Below are 20,501 nucleotides of genomic sequence, written 5' to 3' on the forward strand. Positions count from 1 at the left end.
TATCTCAAAAAAAAAAGTGGGGGCTGGGGGAGAGAGTAGCATTTGAAAGAGTAGACTGAGTGAAGAAGATCACCCTCACCACTGTGGGCGGCCACCATTCAATCCATTGAGGGCCCAAATAAAACAAGGAGGAAAAAGGTAAAATTTGCTTTCTGCTTGATCCCGTATGTCCATCTTCGCCTGCCCTTGGACATCAGAGGCCCTGGCTCTCGGGCCTTCCAGCTTGGACTGGAACGACACTGGCTTTCCTGGGCCTCCCAGCTTGCAGACGGCAGATTCTAGGACCCCTTGGCCTCCAGAATTGCATGAGCCAATTCCCATAATACAGACGGCCCCCAACTTATAAGGGTTCAACTGACAATTTTTCAACCTTATGACAGGTTTATCGAGGTACTAAAGTTGTTTTCAACTTAGGATGTGTTTATTGGGATGTAGCCTCATTGTAAATTGAGGGGCATCTGTAAATCTCATTTTTAATTTAATTTTATTTTAGAAACAGGGTCTCACTCTGTCACCGAGGCTGGAGTGCAGTGTTGCCATCAAAGCTCACTGCAGCCTCGAACTCCCAGGCTCAAGCGATCCTGCCGCCTCAGCCTCCGGAGCATCTGGGACTACGGGCGTGCGCCAGCACACTTGGTAATTTAGTTTTTTTTGTCTCACTATGTTGCCCAGGCTGATCTTGAACTCCTGGCCTAAAGTGATTATCCTGCCTCAGGCTCCCAAAGTGCTGGGATTACAGGCATGAACCGCAGTGCCCAGCCTATAAATCTATATATCTATACCTGCCTACCTATCTACCTACCTATCTGTATCTCCTGTTGGTTCTGTTTCTCTGAAGAATCCTGACTGATACAGCACCCAAAATAAGAAGCCAGCCTGGCCCACCTCTGCAGCCCACCCTGGCTACACCCCACCACTTGGAGCACACAAGCCCTCTGCCCTGTCCTGGAAGACCCCTCAACTGATTCCCCTCCCAGGACCTTGGCACCTGCCTTTCCTCCCTCCAGCCCCCTCCCCAACCTCTGCACCTGCACCCATCCTCTGTCGTTATCCTCCGTCCACAGAATCAGTGTTACTTCCAGGGACTATTCTGACGTCAGACCCCTGCTTTCCTCCATCAGCAGCTGCCACCCATTTCTTTCCTGGCGTTTGTCACACCTCAAAGGATTTTTGTTTCTTTGCCATGAGCAAAATCTCATGGCTTTCGTTTGGGGAACCCCTGACATCAGAGGCCTGAAAGGAGGACACAGTGCTGCTGGTTTATTTGGGTAGTGGCCCCAGGAAGCTGGAGTGGGAGCTGGGAGAGAAGGGCAGGAGGCCAGTAGACAGGGCACAGCTGGCCTGGTCACCGCCAGACACTGCTGGGGGCACTTGATACTCAGCCTCTCTGGAGCCCCTCTGCAGAGCTGCATAGATGAGCCTTGGGACTGGTCCTGGGAGGGGCAGGAGGTCAGGCATTTATCCCCCAACTCTCATGCCCTGTTGGCTGAGGACTGTCCCATGCCATGAAGGTCCTGCTTCCTCCCAGCTGCCTCGCCTGGAGCCGAGATGGCTCCTGAGTGAGCTCCTCATTTGGACAGAAAATTGGAGACTCAACAGGCACATGGGCTGGAAGACTGGTGGGGGCCTGGGGACCTGGAGTGGATGCAGGGAGGCGCTACCAGACCCCAAACACAGTAGCCACACCCCCCAAACCAGAGGTTACAAATGGGCAGCCCCTGGGTCCAGTGCAGCCCCTCTGTGTGTTCCGTTTGGCCATCAAAGGCTTTTAAAAGAACCATTGAGCCAAGATTTTAAACGTCGGGGATCTGGTACAAATACCTGGATTCCTGGCTTCTCTTTAAAAATCACATGTGAGGATCTTGGGCCCTTGTCCACCTGGATAGAAGTACGGACCAGTCTTTGGCAGGTGTGGGCTCCCCACCCTGTCAGCTCCCCCAACACCTGGGCCTAGGGGCAGACTGGTGATCGGTGGCTGGTACAGTATTTTCTCCTTACCCTGACCCCTTCACCTCCAGTAGCCCTTCCGAACCCCTGGGTCAGGTGCAGGGAGCTCAATATTTGATTAGCCCAGCCCCTGTGGGTAAACTGAGGCCACCCTCCTGAGCACTCTCCGCTGCTACCCGCATGTCCCCTCCCCAAGAAGGCAGCTAAAAATATTCAAGTTGCTGCCCTATGGGCCGAGACCCAGGGCCTCCTCACTCTCTCATTCCACCTCCGCCTGTGTGCCTGCTTGGGCTGCATCCTGGGGACACAGAGGTGACCTGAACACAGCCATTGCCCTCACAAAGGACAGGATCTAACAACAGACAGGCAGACCATGACTTCCCAGCTGTGGCATCTGCACACAGGGCACAGAAACTAACTTCTTAGGCCTCCATTTCCTCATCTGGAAAATGGGTCGCTCCCTGGGTTCCCTCTCCCCATTTGCATGCCCCAGCGGATGGTAGGAACCACTCCGCTTGTTCATTCAATCCCCGTGTTTGTTCTTTGGCTCCACTCTGCAGCACTAGCTCCCGGGCCAGGCTGGGCGTGGCGTAGATGGAAGATGGTAAAGAAGCCAGCTAGAAAGGCAGGAACGCAGCGTGACGGTGCCATACCCAGAGGGCCTGCCTGGGCAGCCCCCAGAGGCCTTCAAAGCTACACTGGAGAGCTTGGCCGAGGGACCAATGGCAATGGCACACACTGAAGTGTTTTACACAAAAAAAACCGCCTGGCTGGATGTGGCTGGCAAGAAGATGGCCGGAGCTGCAGGTGACGAGTGATCAAGAGGAGCCCATGGCAGTGGGGACAGGTCACAGCTGAAGTGGGTGACCTGCAACATGTTCAGCAGGTAAAATTGACAGGTTTGGTCGGACTGGCCACAAGGGAGAGGACGGGTAAAGGACAGCTCTTGGTCTCTGGCCAGGCCGGCGGCTCAACAAGTGTCCAAACAAACCATCCGTGTGCCCGGTGTCTACCTGAGCTGCCGTCACCTCTTCCTTTGCCGGGTTTCATTTTTCTCTTTTGCTGTGTTGCTGCAACTGGTTGCCAAAAGGACTGCACAGCTCTCCTGGCAATTTGGCAAAGTCTAGAACAACAGTATTTCCCATAATCTCACCATTAAAGGACAACCCTTGTGGACATCCTGGCAGATTTCTTTCTGGTCTTTTTTCTATGCATTTTAGAATTGAAATAACACAGTGGGTGTCATTTCATGTCATGCTTTTGACCCAGCGTGACATGATATGGTTCATCATTTCTCCACGATCCTGGAAACTCCATTTTTTTTTTTTTTTTTTGAGATGGAGTCTCATGCTGTTGCCTAGGCAGGAGTGCAGTGGTGCCATCTCAGCTCACCGCAACCTCTGCCTCCCGGGTTCAGGCAATTCTCCTGCCTCGGTGTCCTGAGTAGCTGGGATTACAGGCATGCACCAACATGCCCGGCTAATTTTTGTATTTTTAGTAGAGATGGGTTTTCCCCATGTTGCCCTGCCTCATCTCAAACTCCTGGGCTCAAGCAATTTGCCCACCTCAGCCTCCCAAAGTGCTGGGATTACAGGTGCGAGCCACTGAGTCTGGCCATGGAAACTCCATTTCTAAAGTGTGTAACAAGTTCTGCTGCAGGGAATGTATCCCTGTGGCTAGCTGTGCACCCTCATGGTCTATCCACATTTTATATTACCTCCCCAGAAGAGGTCCTGAGCATGGGAATTACTAGATCATAGAAAGGTAAACCATCTTAAGACTCTGGCTACAAATTGCCAGATTGCTTTCCAAAAATATTGGACCACTGACACTCTCACCAGCGATGTACACAAGTGCCCATCTCACCACAGCCTCCCCACCGCCAAATGTTGTACATTTTAAATCTTTCCCGATTTACAGCCCAGCTCAGAGTTCACCTCCTCTGAGAAGCCTCCTCAGATTTCCCCTCTCCATCCTCGACATTCCCACAGCCAGCGGCCCCCCTCCCTCCACTTGTCCCTAGTCCATCCCAGCTGGAGGTCTGACGTTCCAGGGCTGGAGTCTCCTCTGATCCAGGTGAGGCCCCCAGCAGCTTCCCAGCCTCAATCAGCCTGCATATTTTGAGTCTCTTGTAGATGGTGGGAAGCCTTCTAGTAGTATCATCTTCTTTTACAGAACAGCAACTGAGACCCAGACCAGGGAGGCTGAGTGACTGATCCTGAGTCACACAGCTATGAGGCAGTGTTGCTGCAGCTAAAATAGCAGCAAAAACTCCCACTTAATGGGCACTTCCTCCAGGCCAGGCTTAGCTAAGCAGTTTCTAAGCCTAATCGGAGTTCATACTCCCAATAACCTTGCTGCGCTGGGACTATTATTATCCCCATGTTACAGATGGCGGACCCTTGAACCAGGGCCACTTGGCTGAGAAGCGAAGTCCCCCCTGGGACTTGGACCTAAAATCTGAAGTCGGCAGTGCCTTGAGCAGGAGTCCACGAGCCTGGTCCAGTGCCCTGGGCCTGGCATCCTTTGCCTCTCACAGAGCAGATACAGGCAGCCAAAGACAGAAGGAGCCCCCACCCCACACCGTGACCAGGGCCAGAGCAGGCCTTGTGCCAGCTCCAGGTGCCACAGCAGGGCACCTGCCCCACCCCGCCCCCACCTTGGGTTGCCCTGCAGATTCACAGGAACAGCCTGGAGCCCACCCAATCTCAGTGGCTTCTCTCGAACATGCTTATCTCCCACCCCTTATTGACTTGGGGCTTTTCCTGCCAATCTGCCCAAGCGGGAACAGCCCTTTTCAGAGTAACTGCTGCCAAAATCCATTGGCGCAGCGCACCGTCTGCCTGGGCCTTGATGGCATCTGTCATGAGAGGTGGGAACTAGAAAGCCCCATCCTCGGGCCCCTCCCCAGGAGGCTTCAGCAGGTGGAGAGGGAAGGCTTGGCTTCTCCCAGGACTTGAACATTGATCCAGCAAAACTTAGCTGGGCACAGTGGCTCACATCTGTAATCCCAGCACTTTTGGGAGTCTGAGGTGGGAGAATCACTTGAGCCCAGGAGTTTGAGACCAGCCTGACCAACATGGCGAAACCCCATCTCTACTAAAAATACAAAAAATAGCTGGGTGTGGTGGCATGCGCCTGTAGTCCCAACTACTCAGGTGGCTGAGGCATGAGAATCGCCTGAACACAGGAGACGGAGGTTGCAGTGAGCTGAGATCATGTCACTGCACTCCAGCTTGGGTGATAGAGTGGCACTTTGTCTAAAAAAACAAAAAACAAACAAACAAAAAACGTTGACTGAGCACATACTGTGTACCAGACACTGTACAGGTCACTAGGGAGGCAGCAGTAAATGACTCAGACAAGGGAGGGAAGGACCTCCCAGCAGGGGACATAGGCAACAAAGAAAATTAAAAATAGGTAAATTCTATAAAAATACAGCCAAGGAAGGGGGATCAGCAGGCCAGTAAGGGGAAGAAAGGAGCTACCGTTTTAAACCAGGAGGTCAGGGAAGGTTGTTCTGAGAAAGGACTTTGAGCAGAGATTGAAGGAGGTGAGTGAGAGAACCTCATGGATGTCTGGGGTGACAGCACCCCAGGCAGAGGGAACAGCCAGTGCAAAGGCCCTGGAGCACCCTGGAGGAGCTGCGAGCACTGGCATGGCTGGAGAGGAGCTAGGGAGAGTAAGGGTAGAGGTGTCAGAGCAATGATGGGGAAGACCGGGGAGGCCACAGAGGATACCTTGGCCTCTCCTCTGAGAAGGATGGGGAGCCCTGGAGGACTGGGGGGAGAGGGCTGTGGCACAACCTAGGTTTTAACAGGGCCACTCAGACCTCTGCTTGGAGAACACCCTGGGGCAGGGTGAGGGTGGAGGCCAGGAGGTCAGCTAGAAGGTGACTGCCAAAAGTCCAGCTTACCAGTCTCACAGGGGAGGGCTCCCAGAGACATGCACACACACACACACACACACACACACACACACACACACAGGTGTGCAATGCATGTGTGTACCCGTATGTACACACATGTACAGAGAGACCCTGGGGCTAGACAAGCATGGTTTTAACTCCTGATTCTACAACCAACTTTCTGTGTGACCAAGAGCAAGTGACTGGACATCTCTGAACTTCAGTTTCCCCTCCTGCAAGATGGAAGTTCAGACACCTTCTTTCCAGAGTGCCTGTGTGCAAAGTCTGCACACCAGCTTCACCAAGAGGGGTCATGAGTGGCTGGCCCCCAGCAGGCACTCCTACAGTGACCCTTTTCTCCTTGACATGCCACAAGATTGGTGAATAAACCAGTTGCCCTTGTCTCTGGCTTCAGGGAGTGGCTACTGAGAGGTGCCTTGCAGTCCCATGACCCTCTGGGCAGGATTGTCCCAGGCTGGGCAGGGGGCTGAAGAAGCTACCACTGCCTTTAGGGAGCTGCAGTCTCTGGACAGGCAGCCCCATGAGCAGCCCCAGTGCAGGGTCCAGCCACCCACCTAGGACACTCCAGGCTCAGTGGCTACTCACAGAGCTTCCTCTCATGCTTTTCAGCTGTGAGAAGGTGATTGTGAGAAACACTTTCTAAAAGCCAAGCCTATCCTTTGTTATTCTACTTCCCTTTGTTATTCCACAAACAAAAATCACCATCATCATTTTGTCTTCCCTGGCATCATCTTCATCATCTTTTTTTTTTTTTTTTTTTTTAGACGGAGTCTGGCTCTGTCGGCTAGGCTGGAGTGTAGTGGCATGATTTCGGCTCACTGCCACCTCCACCTCCCAGGTTCAAGCGATTCTCCTGCCTCAGCCTCCTGAGTAGCTGGGATTACAGGCAAGTACCACCACCACCAGCTAGTTTTTTGTATTTTTAGTAGAGATAGGGGTTCATCATGTTGGTCAGGCTGGTCTTGAACTCTTGACTTCAGGTGATCCACCTGCCTCAGTCTCTCAAAGTGCTGGGATTACAGGTGTAAGCCATGGTGCCTGGCCCATCTGCATCATAACTTTTCTTCTTTCTCCTCTTCCTCTCTTCCCCTTCCTCTTCATCCTCTTCCTCTTCTTCTTTCTCTTCATCATCAGTCATTATCATGATGATCATCTTTTCCTCCTCCTCTAACTCCTCCTCTTCCTCCTCCTCATCTTTTCCTTCTTTGCCTCCCTCTTCCTCCTCATCCTGCTCTTCTTCTTCTTCCTCCTCTTCCTCCTCTTCCTCCTCTTCTCCTCCTCCTCCTTCCTTCTTCCTTCTTCTTCCTCCTCTTCTTTTTGGAGATGGGATCTCACTCTGTCACCAAGGCTGGAGTACAGTGGTGCAATCTCAGCTCACTGTAACTGCTGTCTCCCAGGCTCAAGGGATTCTTCCACCTCAGCCTCCCAAGTAGCTGGGAGGTGCACACCATCACATCTGGCTAACTTTTGTGTTTTTTTGTACAGACAGGGTCTCACCATGTTGCCCAGGTAGGTCTCAAACTCCTGGCCTGAAGCAGTCCTCCCACCTTGGCCTTTCAAAGTACTGGGATTATAGGTGTGAGTCACCACACTGGCCTTGTTTTATTTTCATTGCATTTATTTAGTTACCTGCTATTTGTGGCAAGCTGGGCTGGTGTTCTGCTTGTAGAGTATTGTGGGATGTACTTTTAAGTTGAAATTACCTTTTAAAATTGTTGCGTTTTAAATAAATTGTTAAATAATGGTGCTCAGCCATGGTTCAACCACAGAAGTGGTACTTTAAAGGCTTGAATTAGAAGAAGGATGGCCCACAAGTTAGACCTGAGCCCCTTAGCCTGGCAGTCTAATCGCTGGACTGTTGATTCACTTTTCAACTATCTTAGCCTCCGAGAGGCTCTTCATTACCTTGACATTTGCTATTTTGTGTTTCAGAGCCTTTGCAGGCGATTTCTTGGGCCTGGTGAACTCATGCATCCTTCAAAGCCCTGCTCAAGCCTCAGCTCCCTGGGGAAGCAGGTCCAGGCTTCTGTGAGTTGTTGGGAGCCCCTCAGCTCTGCCCCCTGTAGACCTTTGTTCATGGTTTTTGGGGTCAGTCACCCTGAGTGCCTGCCCAGCAGCCACATGCATGTCTCTGCCCATAGAGCCCCATTGTGTACACCAGGCACTGAGCCCAGCACCAAGGGAGAAATCATCGCCATCCTCTTTTCCTTCCAGTGATTGGTCCAGGGGGTAAGCATGTGACCTTCTTTTACCCAGTGAGATATAAGGAGTAGGGGAATTTTGGATGGAGAGGGGAGAGCTTCCTGAAAAGATTTTCCTCCCTGACAAATTAAAGATCCTGGAAGAGAAAGATATTTTCCCCCCTCAGGATCTATTCTCCTAAGGAGGTGATGTATGGGGCTGGGGCAGCCATGTTAGAACCATGAGGCACAGAAGCCACAGCAAGAACAGGGGCTGTCTCGTGCCAAAGCAAGCTCAAGGGGGCAGATGGAGGGCAGAGGTTCAGAGGGTTGGGAGCCTGGGGGTCAGGCTGGGATAGGGTGATGGATAGGCAGACCCCAGGCCAAGGGAGGGAGAGGAGCTGAAGCCTGAAACACAGAAGGCACAACCCACAGCCCCTCCTCCCCCTCACACCATTTCCTCCCTTCTGCCTCCTCTCCTTCCTCTTCTAGCTCATGTTTTTCACTCCCACATCCATTCATGCACTCATACTTCCTTTGTCTTTTTATTCTTTCCTTTTTTTTTTATCCTCCAGACAGAGTTTCGCTCTATCGCCCAGGCTGGGGTGCATGATCTCGGCTCACTGTAGCCTCCACTTCCCGAGTTTAAGTGATTCTCCTGCCTCAGAAGTCAGGGAGTGGTTTCTCCAGCTGGTTCTGGCTCAGCCTCTCCCATGAGGCTGCAGTTAGGATACGGGCAGGGGCTATTCTCCTGAATAGCTGGGATTACAAGTGTGCACCACCATGCCTAGCTAATTTCTGTATTTTTCAGTAGAGATAGGGTTTCACCATGTTTCCCAGGCTGATCTCGAACTCCTGACCTCAAGTGATCCACTCGCCTCAGCCTCCCAAAGTGTTCGGATTACAGGCGTGAGCCACCATGCCCAGTCCACTCATACTTTCAATAAGCATTCATTATGTACTTACTGTGCTCAGGCCCCTTGGAAGGAGCAAGAGGATTGGCAGTAATAACAGCAACCCATGTGGATTCAGCAGCTTGGTGGTTTTATTTCTATTTTTATTTGGAGACAGGATCCCACTCTGTCACCCAGACTGGAGTGCTGGGGCACGATCATGGCTCTCTGCAGCCTTGACTTCCTGGGCTCAAGTGATCCTCCCACCTTAGCCTCCCGGGTAGCTAAGACTACAGGCATGCACCAACACACCTGGCTAATATTTTCTATTTTAAGTAGAGAAGAGGTCTCGCTGTGTTGCCCAGGCTGGTCTCGAACTCCTGAGCTCAAGCAATCCTCCCACCTCCATCTCCCAAAGTGCTGGTCCTATAGGCATGAGCCACCGCACCTGGACAACTTGGTGGCTTTCAAATATGTCCGCAAATTCTTTGACACCCCTGCCTTCAAAAGATAGAGCTTAACTGTCCTTCCTCTACGTGTAGACTGCACCCACTTCTAATGAATAGATGTGGAAGCAATGATGTGTAACATCCAAGATTAGGATATAAAAGGCATTGCAGCCTCCTCTTTCCTCTCTCTCAGGTCACTTTCCCTGGGGGTAGTCAGCTGTCGTGTCACGAGGACATTCAAACAGCCCTGTGGGAAGACCCATGTGACAAGGAGCTGAGGCCTCCAGCAAACAGCCAGGTGAGTGAGCCATCTCAGAAGCAGAGCCTCCAGCCCCGGCCAAACCTTCAGATGATGCAGCCCCTGCCCATATCCTAACTGCAGCCTCATGGGAGAGGCTGAGCCAGAACCAGCTGGAGAAACCACTCCCTGACTTCTGACCCTCAGAAACAGTGCCAAATCATGAATGTTTATTATTTTAAGCTGTTAAACTTTGGGGATAATTTGTTATGTGGCAGTAGATAAGCAACACAAGTAAAAGGCATTGCTTTACTAAGTGCCTTATGTGTATTAATGTATTCAATTCTCCCAACAATGTTATGTCTTTCCAGATGAAGACCATGAGGCACAGAGAGGTTTGTTAACTTGCCCAAGGCCAAACAGCTGGTAAGTGGGACAATCCTGGAGGAACATTGAGTCCAGAAAGGAGATCAGACTTGCAGATTTTTTTTTTTTTTCGAGATGGAGTCTCTCTCTGCCACCCAGGCTGGAGTGCAGTGGCACAATCTTTGCTCACTGCAGCCTCCGCCTCCTGGGTCCAAGAGATTCTCCTACCTTAGCCTCTCGAGTAGCTAGGACTACAGTGCCCGCCACCATGCCCTGCTAATTTTTGTATTTTTAGTACAGAAGGGGTTTCACCATGTTGGCCAGGCCGGTCTCGAACTCCTGACCGCGGGTGATCCACCCATCTCAGCCTCCCAAATTGCTGATATTACAGGTGTGAGCCACCGCGCTTGGCCAAAGATCATTTTAATACCAGGTAGGGAGTGTGGGAAGTGCCCGTTCTGGGGAGGTGAAGAAAGGAAGACAGCAGCCCTGGCTGGACCCTGAGTGTGTGGGCTGTGAAAGCCCACAGAGGATGGGAGTGGGCAGGTGCAGTGGAAATCAGACGAGCCTGTGAGCTGCTTCTTGTTGGGACTGGGAGCGACCCGTGAACACACAGGCTAAGAGTGGGCCTGAGACTGTGCCCACCCAGTACCCACTGCCTATAAGAGGTGCGTAGAAAAGGCCGGAAGTCCCCCTGCACCCAGGTCCTGGGAATCCCAGAACCAGCGAGAGGCCTAGGTGTCTGTGTGTCTTGGTTAGGGCAGCCTAGGTTGTGCTGCAGAGTCAAGCCTCAACTCACAGTGGCTCAGCACAGCCGGGCTGTGGTTCTGGACCCACCACGTGTCCCGCATGGGGTGGCAGGGACCGAGCCCATTATAGTCACTCAGGTTCCCAGGCTGATGGAGGCCTCACGCTCTTACAATGCTGCCGCCTCAACATGAGGTTTCAGGGCTTCCCACAGTGGAAGGAGCCTGGAGAGAGCCACCAGCTCTGAAATGACAGCCCAGGAAGACACAGGTTGCTTCTGCTCACATTTCACTCCGTGAAGCAAGGCCCAGGACCCCACTGACCTGCAAGGGGGCACACGCCCAGGAGGAGAGAACTGAACACCTTGGGGGATCTAGCAATGTCTCCCACACTCCAGAAGGCCCCAAACCCGAGAACCATGCTGCCCAGAATGAATGCCACAGTGGGACCAGCCACAGCCAGACAGATTCCACTCCAGGACACCCAAGGCCAGGCACAGCCCCAGAGCCAACCAGAGGCTCAGAAGACCCCTCTCCCATTAGGACGCCACCCCTAGGGAAAGGGATGGGGTGGGAAGAAAACAAAAACAGGAGTCCTGAATCAAAAGAGTGAGCCCAGAAAGAGACTATGCGAGAGCATAGAGACCTTTAAGTGACAAGAGGAGGGTCCCGGCCATCAGCAGGAATGGGCGTCGGGAGAGAAGAGAAACAAGCTGCCCTGCACAGCCCCACGCCAGTGGGCCCTGCTCCATGCATTTCCCACCCATCAGCTCCTTCTGCCCTCCGACCCTAGGAGCAGGCTCTGTTGTTCCCCCATTTCACAAAGAACCCAAGACCCAGGCAGGTTAGCGTAAGAATATGCCAAGGCAGGCAGATCGCTTGAGTCCAGAAGTTTGAGACCAGCCTGGGCAAAACCCCCATCTCCACAAAAAGTACCAAAATTCGCCAGGCAGGGTGGCGTGTGCCTGTATTCTCAGCTACTGAACAGGCTGAGGTGGGAGGATTGCTTAAGCCCAGGAGTTAGAGGCTGCAGTGAGTTGTGATCGCACTGCTACACTCCAGCCTGGGCAACAGAGCACGACCCTGTCTTTTTTTAAAAAAGGAAAGAAGGAAGGAAGGAAAGAAGGAAGGGAGGAAGGGAGGAAGGGAGGAAGGGAAGGGAGGGAAGGAACGAAGGAGGGAGGGAAGGAAAAAGGAAAGGGGAGGGGAGGGAAGGGGAGGGGAAAAAGGAGAGGAGAGGGACCAAGTGCTTTTCCTACAGTTTCTGTCTCTCCCACTGTGCCCCATGAAGTGGGTGCTATCATTGGCTTAATTGTACAGATGGTGAAACCGAGGGTCAGAGAGAGAAAGCAAACTGCCCGAGATCCCAGAGATGCTTAGGACTCAGGTCCCCCTGACCTCACAGCTCAGGCTCTCAATCGCTGACCCTCCATCCTCACTGCCAAAACCTGGATGCCTGCACAGCCTGGGCATACAGAGGAGCTCCACGACAGGGTCCCCTGTGGGCTTAGGGAGTGCTGAGGCCAGGCATGGAGCCCTTTGTCTGGCCGGGGGACAGACTGTGACGAGCAGGACCCTGCCCACTTCTGTGAAGGGAACCTCTAGGGAGCTTATTCCTAGAAGGAAGGGCCACACCCAGTATTGACTTGCCATTCACAGGTGCCAGTGACCGGGTGTGTCTCACCACGTGTCTGCTTCTGGGGAAGGGAGGGAGTGGTTAGGCAGACTCAGGCAGTGGCTCCTGTGTGTCCCAACCCCCTCGGCTACAGCAGACAGCTTGGGGACTGGCACCCAGGGGGATGGACTGAGCAGGAGGCCTGGATTCTGAGTCTCCTTTCCCCCCGCGCCACCCTGCATCAGACAGGGCTCCTCTGCCCCTCCTCGACATCACCACCTTCTCCATGCCTCAGTTTCCTCATCCACACCTCGGACACAGTAATGCTTCCTTCCTGGCATTAAGCAAGTGAAATGATGAAGTCATGTGTGGGGCCTCTAGGGCTCCAAGGAGCCAGGTTTTGATCCTGAGGGCAGTGGGAAGCCATGGTGAGGTTTCCAGGGAGCTAGTTAATACAGGATCAATGAAACTGATTTTAAAATATCTATTGATAAGCCCCCACTGGGTCTGGTGCCTCATGCCTGTAATCCCAGCACTTTGGGAGACCAAGTTGGGAGGATGGCTCAATTCCAGGAGTTTAAGAAGAGCCTGGGCAACATAACGAGACCCCATCTCTATCCAAAAAAACAAAAAAATTAGCCAGGCATGGTGGCACGCACCTGTGGTCCCAGCTACTCAGGAGGCTGAAGCAGAAGGGTCACTTGAGCCCAGGAGGTTGAGGCTGCAGTGAGCTGTGATTGTGCCACTGTACTCCAGCCTGGACAACAGAGCAAGACCCTGTCTCTAAAAATTAAATAAATAATTGCAATTTATTTATTTATTTATTTATTTTATTTTATTTTATTTTTGAGATGGAGTCTCACTTTGTCACCAATCTTGCTTCACCACAATCTCCGCCTCCCAGGTTTAAGCATTTCTCTGCCTGAGCCTCCCGAGTAGCTGGGATTACAGGTACGTGCCACCACACCCGGCAAATGTGTGTATTTTTAATAGAGACAGGGTTTCACCATCTTGGCCAGGCTGGTCTTGAACTCCTGACCTCATGATCCACCTGCCTTGGCCTCCCAAAGTGCCGGGATTACAGGCGTGAGCCACCACTCCCGGCCACAAATGTTTTTAAAAAGCTCAAAAGAGACCAGGCACAGTGGCTCACGCCTGTAATCCCGGCACTTTGGGAGGCTGAGGCAGGCGGATCACCTGAGGTCAGGAGTTCAAAACCAGCCTGGCCATCATGGCAAAACCCCATCTCTACTAAAAATACAAAAAATTAGCCAGGCACAGTGGTGCACATCTGTAATCCCAGCTACTCGAGAGGCTGAAGTACAAGAATCCCTTTGAGCCTAGGAGGCGGAGATTGCAGTGAGCCGAGATCACGCCACTGCACTCCAACCTGGGTGACAGAGCGAGACTCTGTCTCAAAAATAAAAAAAGTGAAAAATAAAAAGCTCAAAGAAAAGCAAATTCAGGGGTCACTAATAAAAATGGAACTCAAGGTGGAAGGGTGGGGTGGGGAAGGGGAAAGGGACTCAGACTGGCCTTGATCCCTGGTCATGACTTTCGTGGGAGCAGGAACAGAAACCCCAGTATGAAGGCAGGACCCTGAAGGGCTTCCCCCATCCCATGGGAAGGTACATCACCCTCTGCCCAGCCTAGGAACAGCCCGAGATTGGATAGCGGGAAGTCTAAGAAATTGAAAGTCTGAGCCTGGGAGTGTGGGGGTGGGGCAGGGCAGGGGAGACTGAGGTCTGGGTTGATTCTACTCTGGGTTGCTGGAATCTCATGCCGGGAATTCAGTGTGAATGCAGGTCCCCAGCTGGTGAAATCCCTGGAGTATTACTCAAACTCAACGCATCCCTTTTGGGAAACGTCTCGTCCTGAGGGGTGTGGGAGCCCAAACGTGCACAGGCACACGCAGCAAATCTCCCCGCTGAAGATGAGCTCACAATAAAGCTTAGAAACCACCAGAAAAATCCACCACACGGGAGAATCCACAGACAGAGCATCAGGCACAGCAGGTCCATCTGGGTGGTCTGTGCTGGAGTGGCTTATAGATCTGATGTCAATATGAAATCGCAGCTCTGTGGCTGCAAAACCCCCTTCCCGTTTACACCCCCAAATCCTCAGTCACCACCGCTTCTCACAAATGCCTCATGGGAGCATGAGTTTTGTTTTGAGGGATACAGGGAAGAACTGACATTTCTGCTGGGGTCCACGGGATTGAGGAGCAGAGGGAGCCCATGTGCAGAGGTGGGACTATAGGAAATCCGGTCCAGTTCCGTACATTTGGGAGACTGGGGCTGGAGAGGCTGTGAGGATGTGAGTCCTTGGAAATTAGAGATCTGCAGGGGAAGGCTTGGCTTTCCACAGGGGATGGAACTCAGGTTTGGGGGCTCTTACTTAGCCTAAAGAGACACTCGACTCTCCCAGGGTCAAGGGGAGGAAGCCTGTGCTGGACCCAGGTGGTGAGCTGAGGTCCCTGCTCTCGTGGGGTGAGGCTGGCCTGGGTAACTTTTACCTGGCCACGTGGCTACAGGAACACAGAAGGGGAGGCACAGCTTTGGGGGACGGTGACTTTTTTTTCTAGAGACAGCAGCAGGTCTGGATTTGAATCCGGACTCCACAGGGCGTTACTGAGTTTTCCCATGCCTCAGTTTTCCTCTCCATGTAATGGGGGTAATAATAGCTCTTCCTCCAGGGCACTGAGAGGACTGAATGAGAAAACCCACTTGACAAGGCAGCTGGCCCAGAGGACAGGCTGGGCGAATGGTCATGGAGTTTATTACTAATGAATGAAGGGCCGGACCCACAGATGAGTCACACAAGTGAGCCACTGATCGATCTGATAACAATGAATGGACAAATGAAAGAAATGAATCAATGAATGAAATGCTCAGGGCCTGCCTCCCAGCACCACAGAGAGGGGACCTGGCCCTGGGGAGGGGAAGGAGGGCAGGAGAGGCCCACCCCCTGAGTCAGCTTCCAGCAGCTCCAGCTCAGAAAAAGTTCAGCGGCCAGGTGACGGACACATGGCGCACACCTGTGACGCCCCCCTTAATCACTCCCCCACATCGTGCCAAGGGGATCGAAGGATTCCCCTGAGTCATCTTCCTGCAGGCCAGCCTGCAGCTCCTGCAGCTCCCGGTTCCTCCCCCTGGCCCGGCAGAGGGTGATTAAGGGCTTTTTGGGGGAAATGACAGTTAAAAGACTCAGCAAGGAGTGTCCAGCCTGGCGAGTCAGGGGCTGTGGGCAGGACTCAGGAAGGGCCCCCTGGCCCCTTCCTGGCCTCAGAGGGAGCCTCGTCCGAGTGGCAGGGCTTGCTGATCCTTGAAGTGGGAGAGGGATAGCCCCATCCACCACAATAAGTAATAGGAATGACAATGAAAAGTTTGTTGGGCCAAATTCTGTGCCCAGGGCTGCTCGTTTGTTTCTTCATTTAGTCCTCAGCTCCCTACCGAAGGCAGCCGTCTGCTGAAACCATAAGAAATTGCTGATTGCCTGTCTGATCTTGACCCACAAAAATGGCAATCTCATGTGTCATTCGATCTAATAGTCCCATTATTCCTATTTTGCAGAAAATCACGGCTCAGAGAGGCTGAGCAGCCTGCAAAGGAGAGCCAGGGATGCTGCCACCCAAGCCTGGGAGAGCCTTGGGGTGCCCAGGCTTGGGGCTGAGGGAGGCTCCTGGTCTGGGAACAGAAGTGCCCAGGGGACACTAGAGCAGAGCTAGGCTGCACCTGCCCCCTGGGGGAAGGGAGGTGGGGCCAACACTGGGGACGCAGGGCTCCCTCCTGGCGATCCCCAGGCTGGGGGAATTTGGTGCTGGGGATTTTGAGCAGTTAGAGGCTGGGTAGGGGCTTTCTTGCCTTCTGGCTGGGGCCCCGTGGGAGTGGGGGAGTTGGGGCTGCATCCATCTGTCCATCCATCCAGGGAGTCTCTCCAGTGGTGGCCGTCACTGGGGCCGTCTGCAGAGCCTCTCTGGGGCATTAATTTAACATGCAAAGGGGAACCCAGGGAGAGGGCAGTGCTGAACCCAGAGGGAGGGGGTGGGTGATGGTGGCATTTTGGGCAGACTTCAGTATGGTTTTCTCCCCAGAGAGTGTCTTTCTAGAACGTCTTTCTAGACTCCTGGGACACTGGTGTAATTGGCCTGTGAGGCCAACCAGCCCCAGATGTTTCTGGGAATTTGGAGACCTGCCCCCTGCAAGGGACTCAGATGCTTTCCGTGGAAGGGGCCAGGGAGGGGAAGAGGCACCAAGGTCTCACTGAACCGTCGTGGTCACTCTGAACATTCATGCCACTTGGCATGAGCCCTTCACTCTCCAGACTGTAAAATCAATACCTGGCCCAAATAGCAACAACAAAGAGCAACAATACCCCTTACCCCATCCACGTGGCACCTCCTGTCTGTCTCCAGGGCGCTGCGCTTCATTAAGCACCACACACCCAAGAGCTCAAGGGAGTCTCATGACTAGGCATCTGCAGGGGCTCCTCTGTTTCTCATCTTTCAGGAAACCAAGGAAAAACAGAGAGGTTGAGTAACTTGTCCAGAGTCACACAGCTCTAAGAAGTAGAGTCACCTACTCCAGAGGCCAAGGCAGGAGGATCAGTTGAGCCCAGGAGTTCGAGGTCAGCCTGGGCAACATAGTGAGACCCCCATCTCTTTAAACACAAAAAAGTGGAGTCAGAAACCAAACCGAAGGACTCTGGACCCTTGTACTCTTGGCTGCACACATCTTACCCTCCTGAAGAAATGTTTGCTGAGATTACAGACTTGGTTAAATTCATGACAGTCCATCTATGCCATGGGGCCATTAAAATAGTGATTTGGAGGCCAGGCGAGGTGGCTCACACCTGTAATCCCAGCACTTTGGGAGGCTAAGGCAGGCAGATCATCTGAGGTCAGGATTTCAAGACCAGCATGGCCAACATGGTGAAACCCTGTCTCTGCTAAACACACAAAAATTAGGCGGGCATAGGCCGGGCGCGGTGGCTCACGCCTGTAATCCCAGAACTTTGGGATGCTGAGGTGGGCGGACCACAAGGTCAGGAGATTGAGACCATCCTGGCTAACACGGTGAAACCCCATCTCTACTAAAAATACAAAAAATTAGCCCAGCGTGGTGGCAGGCACCTGTGGTCCCAGCTACTGGGGAGGCTGAGGCAGGAGAATGGCGTGAACTCGGGAGGTAGAGCTTGCAGTGAGCTGAGACTGCACCACTGCACTCCAGCCTGGGCGACAGAGCAAGACCCCATCTCAAAAAAAAAAAAAAACAGGCGTGGTGGTACATGCCTGTAATCCCAGCTACTGAGGAGGCTGAGGCAGGAGGATCGCTTGAACCCGGGAGACAGAGGTTGCAGTGAGCCACCACTGCACTCCAGCCTGGGCGACAGAATGAGACTCCATCTCAAAATAAAATAAATAAAATAAAATGGTGATTTGGAGTATTGCTTCCCTGGGAAAATGCTCATGGTATGTGTATCCTTAGAGGAAAAAGCAAGTTGTAAGAGTTTGGAAACCATAACCCCATTTTGTTCATTCAAAAATTATTTGCATAGAAAAATGACCAGAAAACAGTTACAAATTACAATGTTGGCAACGATGATGCTGAGGAGGAAGAGCAGGGGCCCATGGAGAAGGACAGGGTCCATACCACCAGGTATGTGCCACCACTTTTTCCTGTGATGCCAGGAAAGGGGGCATCCCCATTGCTAGGGGTCTGAAGACCTGGAGTGAGAGAGAGAATGGCTGTGCCCATGACTGGAGGCTCAGGGCTCTGAGAGGTGGAGTCAGGGGTCTGTGGGGGAGGCAGTGGGTGATCCCTCAACCACGTGGCTTGTCCTTCCCACGCCTGCAGAGAAACATTGGTCACCCTGCCTTTGCCCCAGCTGGCTGCTTTCCTGGGATGTGACCTTTCACGTTGGTGGCCAAACCTGTCCATCCTTGACACTAGCTCAGACATCCCCTCCTCCAGGAAGCCTCCTCAGATGTCACTGGCCAGGCATTTGCCTTCCTTAGTCTTCTGGATCCCTAGTCTAGGACTGAGTGCTTCCTGCCTCCTCACTGCCTCTGACTTCTCTGGGGGGTTGATTTAACACGGCCACGGGGGCTTATTTCCATAACCCCAGCCTCTGCCACAGGAGCCGCTATAGGGTTGAGCTTTACATCCTCTCAGTGGGCTCGTGACCCCGTCATCCACACCTTCCCTTTTATCGGGTCCCTTTCATGTGGTGTCTCATCGACTCCTTACCATAGCCCTAACGGATGGACATCGCTATTCATTCCCATTCTACAGATGCAGAAACTGAGCTTCAGGGAAGCTGAGGAGCTCACCCTGGGTCATACGGCCAGCAAGTGGCACAGTCAAGATCCGAACCCAGGTCAGGCTGTGTCCACAGGGTATCTTGGACAGGGCTAAACTTCCACCACATTGTCTCTTCATATAATGTTGAAATCTGGCTTCTCTTTCAATAGCTGCCCCAACGCGGCCGGAGCACTGGGACTAAGGCAGACGTGAGCGCTAGTATCGCAGTCACCAGCACTGCTACAGCGCCTTCCCTTTTAGTGCCTCCTGTCAACGCTGAGAGGTAGTCACAAGTATCCCCATGGCAGATGTGGGAGGACTGAGGCCCATGAGGTCCAGGGCTCCAGGGGCACCTGGCTCTGATGAGGCTAAACTCAAGCTTGCCCCTTCTCTGCACCCCAAACTCCTGGTTTCTGGACCCAGCTCAGCACGTGGAGCCTTGGGTCACACCCAGCACCCAGTGAACGGCATCCGAGAAACACTCTTCCTGCTGAAAGCCTGGCTTTCTGGAAGGGAGCTGGGGGAAACTGGGAGAGGATGGAGGGGGGCCAGGTAGCAGATAGCCACACTCCTTGCGGCAGGAAGTTCTACACATCATTTCTGGGAACCAGGATAGCTTGGCAGTAACTCGGCGCACTTTGACCCCAATAGAGCACCCAGCTGTCACTGTTGACAGCCCCCCTTCCTTCCCAGGGGATGCTGCTGAGCTGCTTGGAGCCTTCATGTCGGACATCCAGGTGGGCCTGGGGACAGCCTTGGAGCTCCCGGGCCACCTGTCTGGCCACCACCGGATGGAGTGCCCAGATGGGGCTTCTGCCAGCTGTCCAGGAGGCAGCCCAGGCTGGGACATCCAAGCTGAGCCCTGAGCTGGCCTGGCCTGGCCCAGCCCGCACTGATGAGGCAATGTGAGTCCTGTTTCCTGTTACTGTGGCTATGCAAATGGGGGGAAATCAGGGCCTCTCCTGGGGTAGGCTTCCCGGAATGATGGCATTGATTGTCCCAAGAAACCTGGCCCCAGTGGGGCTGCTATGGGAGGGCAGTTGTCAACGGCTAAGATCCCTTTCCTGGTGCATCTCTCCTGCGTGCTGGGCTACATACTGCTGGGAAAAGCTTCTTCAGCCCAGACCTAGGTCATCACTGCATGTCCACTCCCGGACCCACTGCCCATGAGAGCTGGGCTGTGGCTTCCACTTCTTGTCACTGCATCCCCAGCTCCTGGTACATCGTGGGAGTGGGGCGGACAGGACCAGGAAGTGGGTGGCCTCAATGGCTCTCAGCCCCTGGCCTGGAGATCACCACACCCTTCTCTTTACACATAAGGAAACTGAGGACACCAGACTGGGCCAGGGACTTGCCCACGTCTCTCTGCCTCGCCCAGACATGCCGCAGCAGCAGTGGCAAACTTCTGCTTGCCCCCAGAAGCCAGCTGAGTCTTCCAGGTCAAGTCCCTCTCCTGCTCCCCACAGTCCTGTCACACCCCTGGCTGCTCCCCAGGTCAGCCTCTCCTAGGGGTCGTTCTCAGCTCACATCTGACCATGCCACTCCCCTGCCCTGGCACCTAGCCCTCACTCAAAGCCAGGCCTCATAAGCCAGCAGTGATTGGGTACCTTCCACCCTGAGTGGTCTCATCTCTTGACAACTCTGCCTCACACATTACCCCTGGTGATGCCAGAACTCCTTGGAATTCCCCCTTGCACCTCTGTGGCTTTGCAAAGCTGTTGCCTCAGCCTGAGAGGATGCCTCCAACACCTTTCTTTCTCTCTTTATTTTTTTTTTCTGAGACCGAGTCTCACTCTGTCACCCAGGCTGGAGTGCAGTGGCACGATCTCAGCTCACT

General features: G+C 53.2%; 9 annotated features.

Moving 5' to 3' along the window:
* Positions 10,329-10,838: an enhancer, noted in NCBI's record as "H3K27ac-H3K4me1 hESC enhancer chr16:11290798-11291307 (GRCh37/hg19 assembly coordinates)". NCBI's record gives its function as "activates a minimal SCP1, AML or CMV promoter by ChIP-STARR-seq in primed H9 embryonic stem cells {active_cell/tissue: H9 hESC(primed)}" and the evidence as "EXISTENCE:reporter gene assay evidence [ECO:0000049][PMID:30033119]".
* Positions 10,839-11,347: an enhancer, noted in NCBI's record as "H3K27ac-H3K4me1 hESC enhancer chr16:11291308-11291816 (GRCh37/hg19 assembly coordinates)". NCBI's record gives its function as "activates a minimal SCP1, AML or CMV promoter by ChIP-STARR-seq in primed H9 embryonic stem cells {active_cell/tissue: H9 hESC(primed)}" and the evidence as "EXISTENCE:reporter gene assay evidence [ECO:0000049][PMID:30033119]".
* Positions 12,384-12,884: an enhancer, noted in NCBI's record as "H3K4me1 hESC enhancer chr16:11292853-11293353 (GRCh37/hg19 assembly coordinates)". NCBI's record gives its function as "activates a minimal SCP1, AML or CMV promoter by ChIP-STARR-seq in naive H9 embryonic stem cells {active_cell/tissue: H9 hESC(naive)}" and the evidence as "EXISTENCE:reporter gene assay evidence [ECO:0000049][PMID:30033119]".
* Positions 14,652-15,851: an enhancer, noted in NCBI's record as "P300/CBP strongly-dependent group 1 enhancer chr16:11295121-11296320 (GRCh37/hg19 assembly coordinates)". NCBI's record gives its function as "activates an origin of replication core promoter dependent on BRD2, BRD4, P300/CBP, MED14 and CDK7 cofactors, with strong dependence on P300/CBP, by STARR-seq in HCT116 cells {active_cell/tissue: HCT116}" and the evidence as "EXISTENCE:reporter gene assay evidence [ECO:0000049][PMID:35650434]".
* Positions 15,844-16,640: an enhancer, noted in NCBI's record as "H3K27ac-H3K4me1 hESC enhancer chr16:11296313-11297109 (GRCh37/hg19 assembly coordinates)". NCBI's record gives its function as "activates a minimal SCP1, AML or CMV promoter by ChIP-STARR-seq in primed H9 embryonic stem cells {active_cell/tissue: H9 hESC(primed)}" and the evidence as "EXISTENCE:reporter gene assay evidence [ECO:0000049][PMID:30033119]".
* Positions 16,674-16,753: an enhancer, noted in NCBI's record as "active region_10415". NCBI's record gives its function as "activates an Ori minimal core promoter by ATAC-STARR-seq in GM12878 lymphoblastoid cells {active_cell/tissue: GM12878}" and the evidence as "EXISTENCE:reporter gene assay evidence [ECO:0000049][PMID:35858748]".
* Positions 19,567-19,706: an enhancer, noted in NCBI's record as "active region_10416". NCBI's record gives its function as "activates an Ori minimal core promoter by ATAC-STARR-seq in GM12878 lymphoblastoid cells {active_cell/tissue: GM12878}" and the evidence as "EXISTENCE:reporter gene assay evidence [ECO:0000049][PMID:35858748]".
* Positions 20,027-20,116: an enhancer, noted in NCBI's record as "active region_10417". NCBI's record gives its function as "activates an Ori minimal core promoter by ATAC-STARR-seq in GM12878 lymphoblastoid cells {active_cell/tissue: GM12878}" and the evidence as "EXISTENCE:reporter gene assay evidence [ECO:0000049][PMID:35858748]".
* Positions 20,127-20,196: an enhancer, noted in NCBI's record as "active region_10418". NCBI's record gives its function as "activates an Ori minimal core promoter by ATAC-STARR-seq in GM12878 lymphoblastoid cells {active_cell/tissue: GM12878}" and the evidence as "EXISTENCE:reporter gene assay evidence [ECO:0000049][PMID:35858748]".

Source organism: Homo sapiens, chromosome 16, assembly GCF_000001405.40.
Source record: "Homo sapiens chromosome 16, GRCh38.p14 Primary Assembly".
Lineage (NCBI taxonomy): Eukaryota > Metazoa > Chordata > Mammalia > Primates > Hominidae > Homo > Homo sapiens.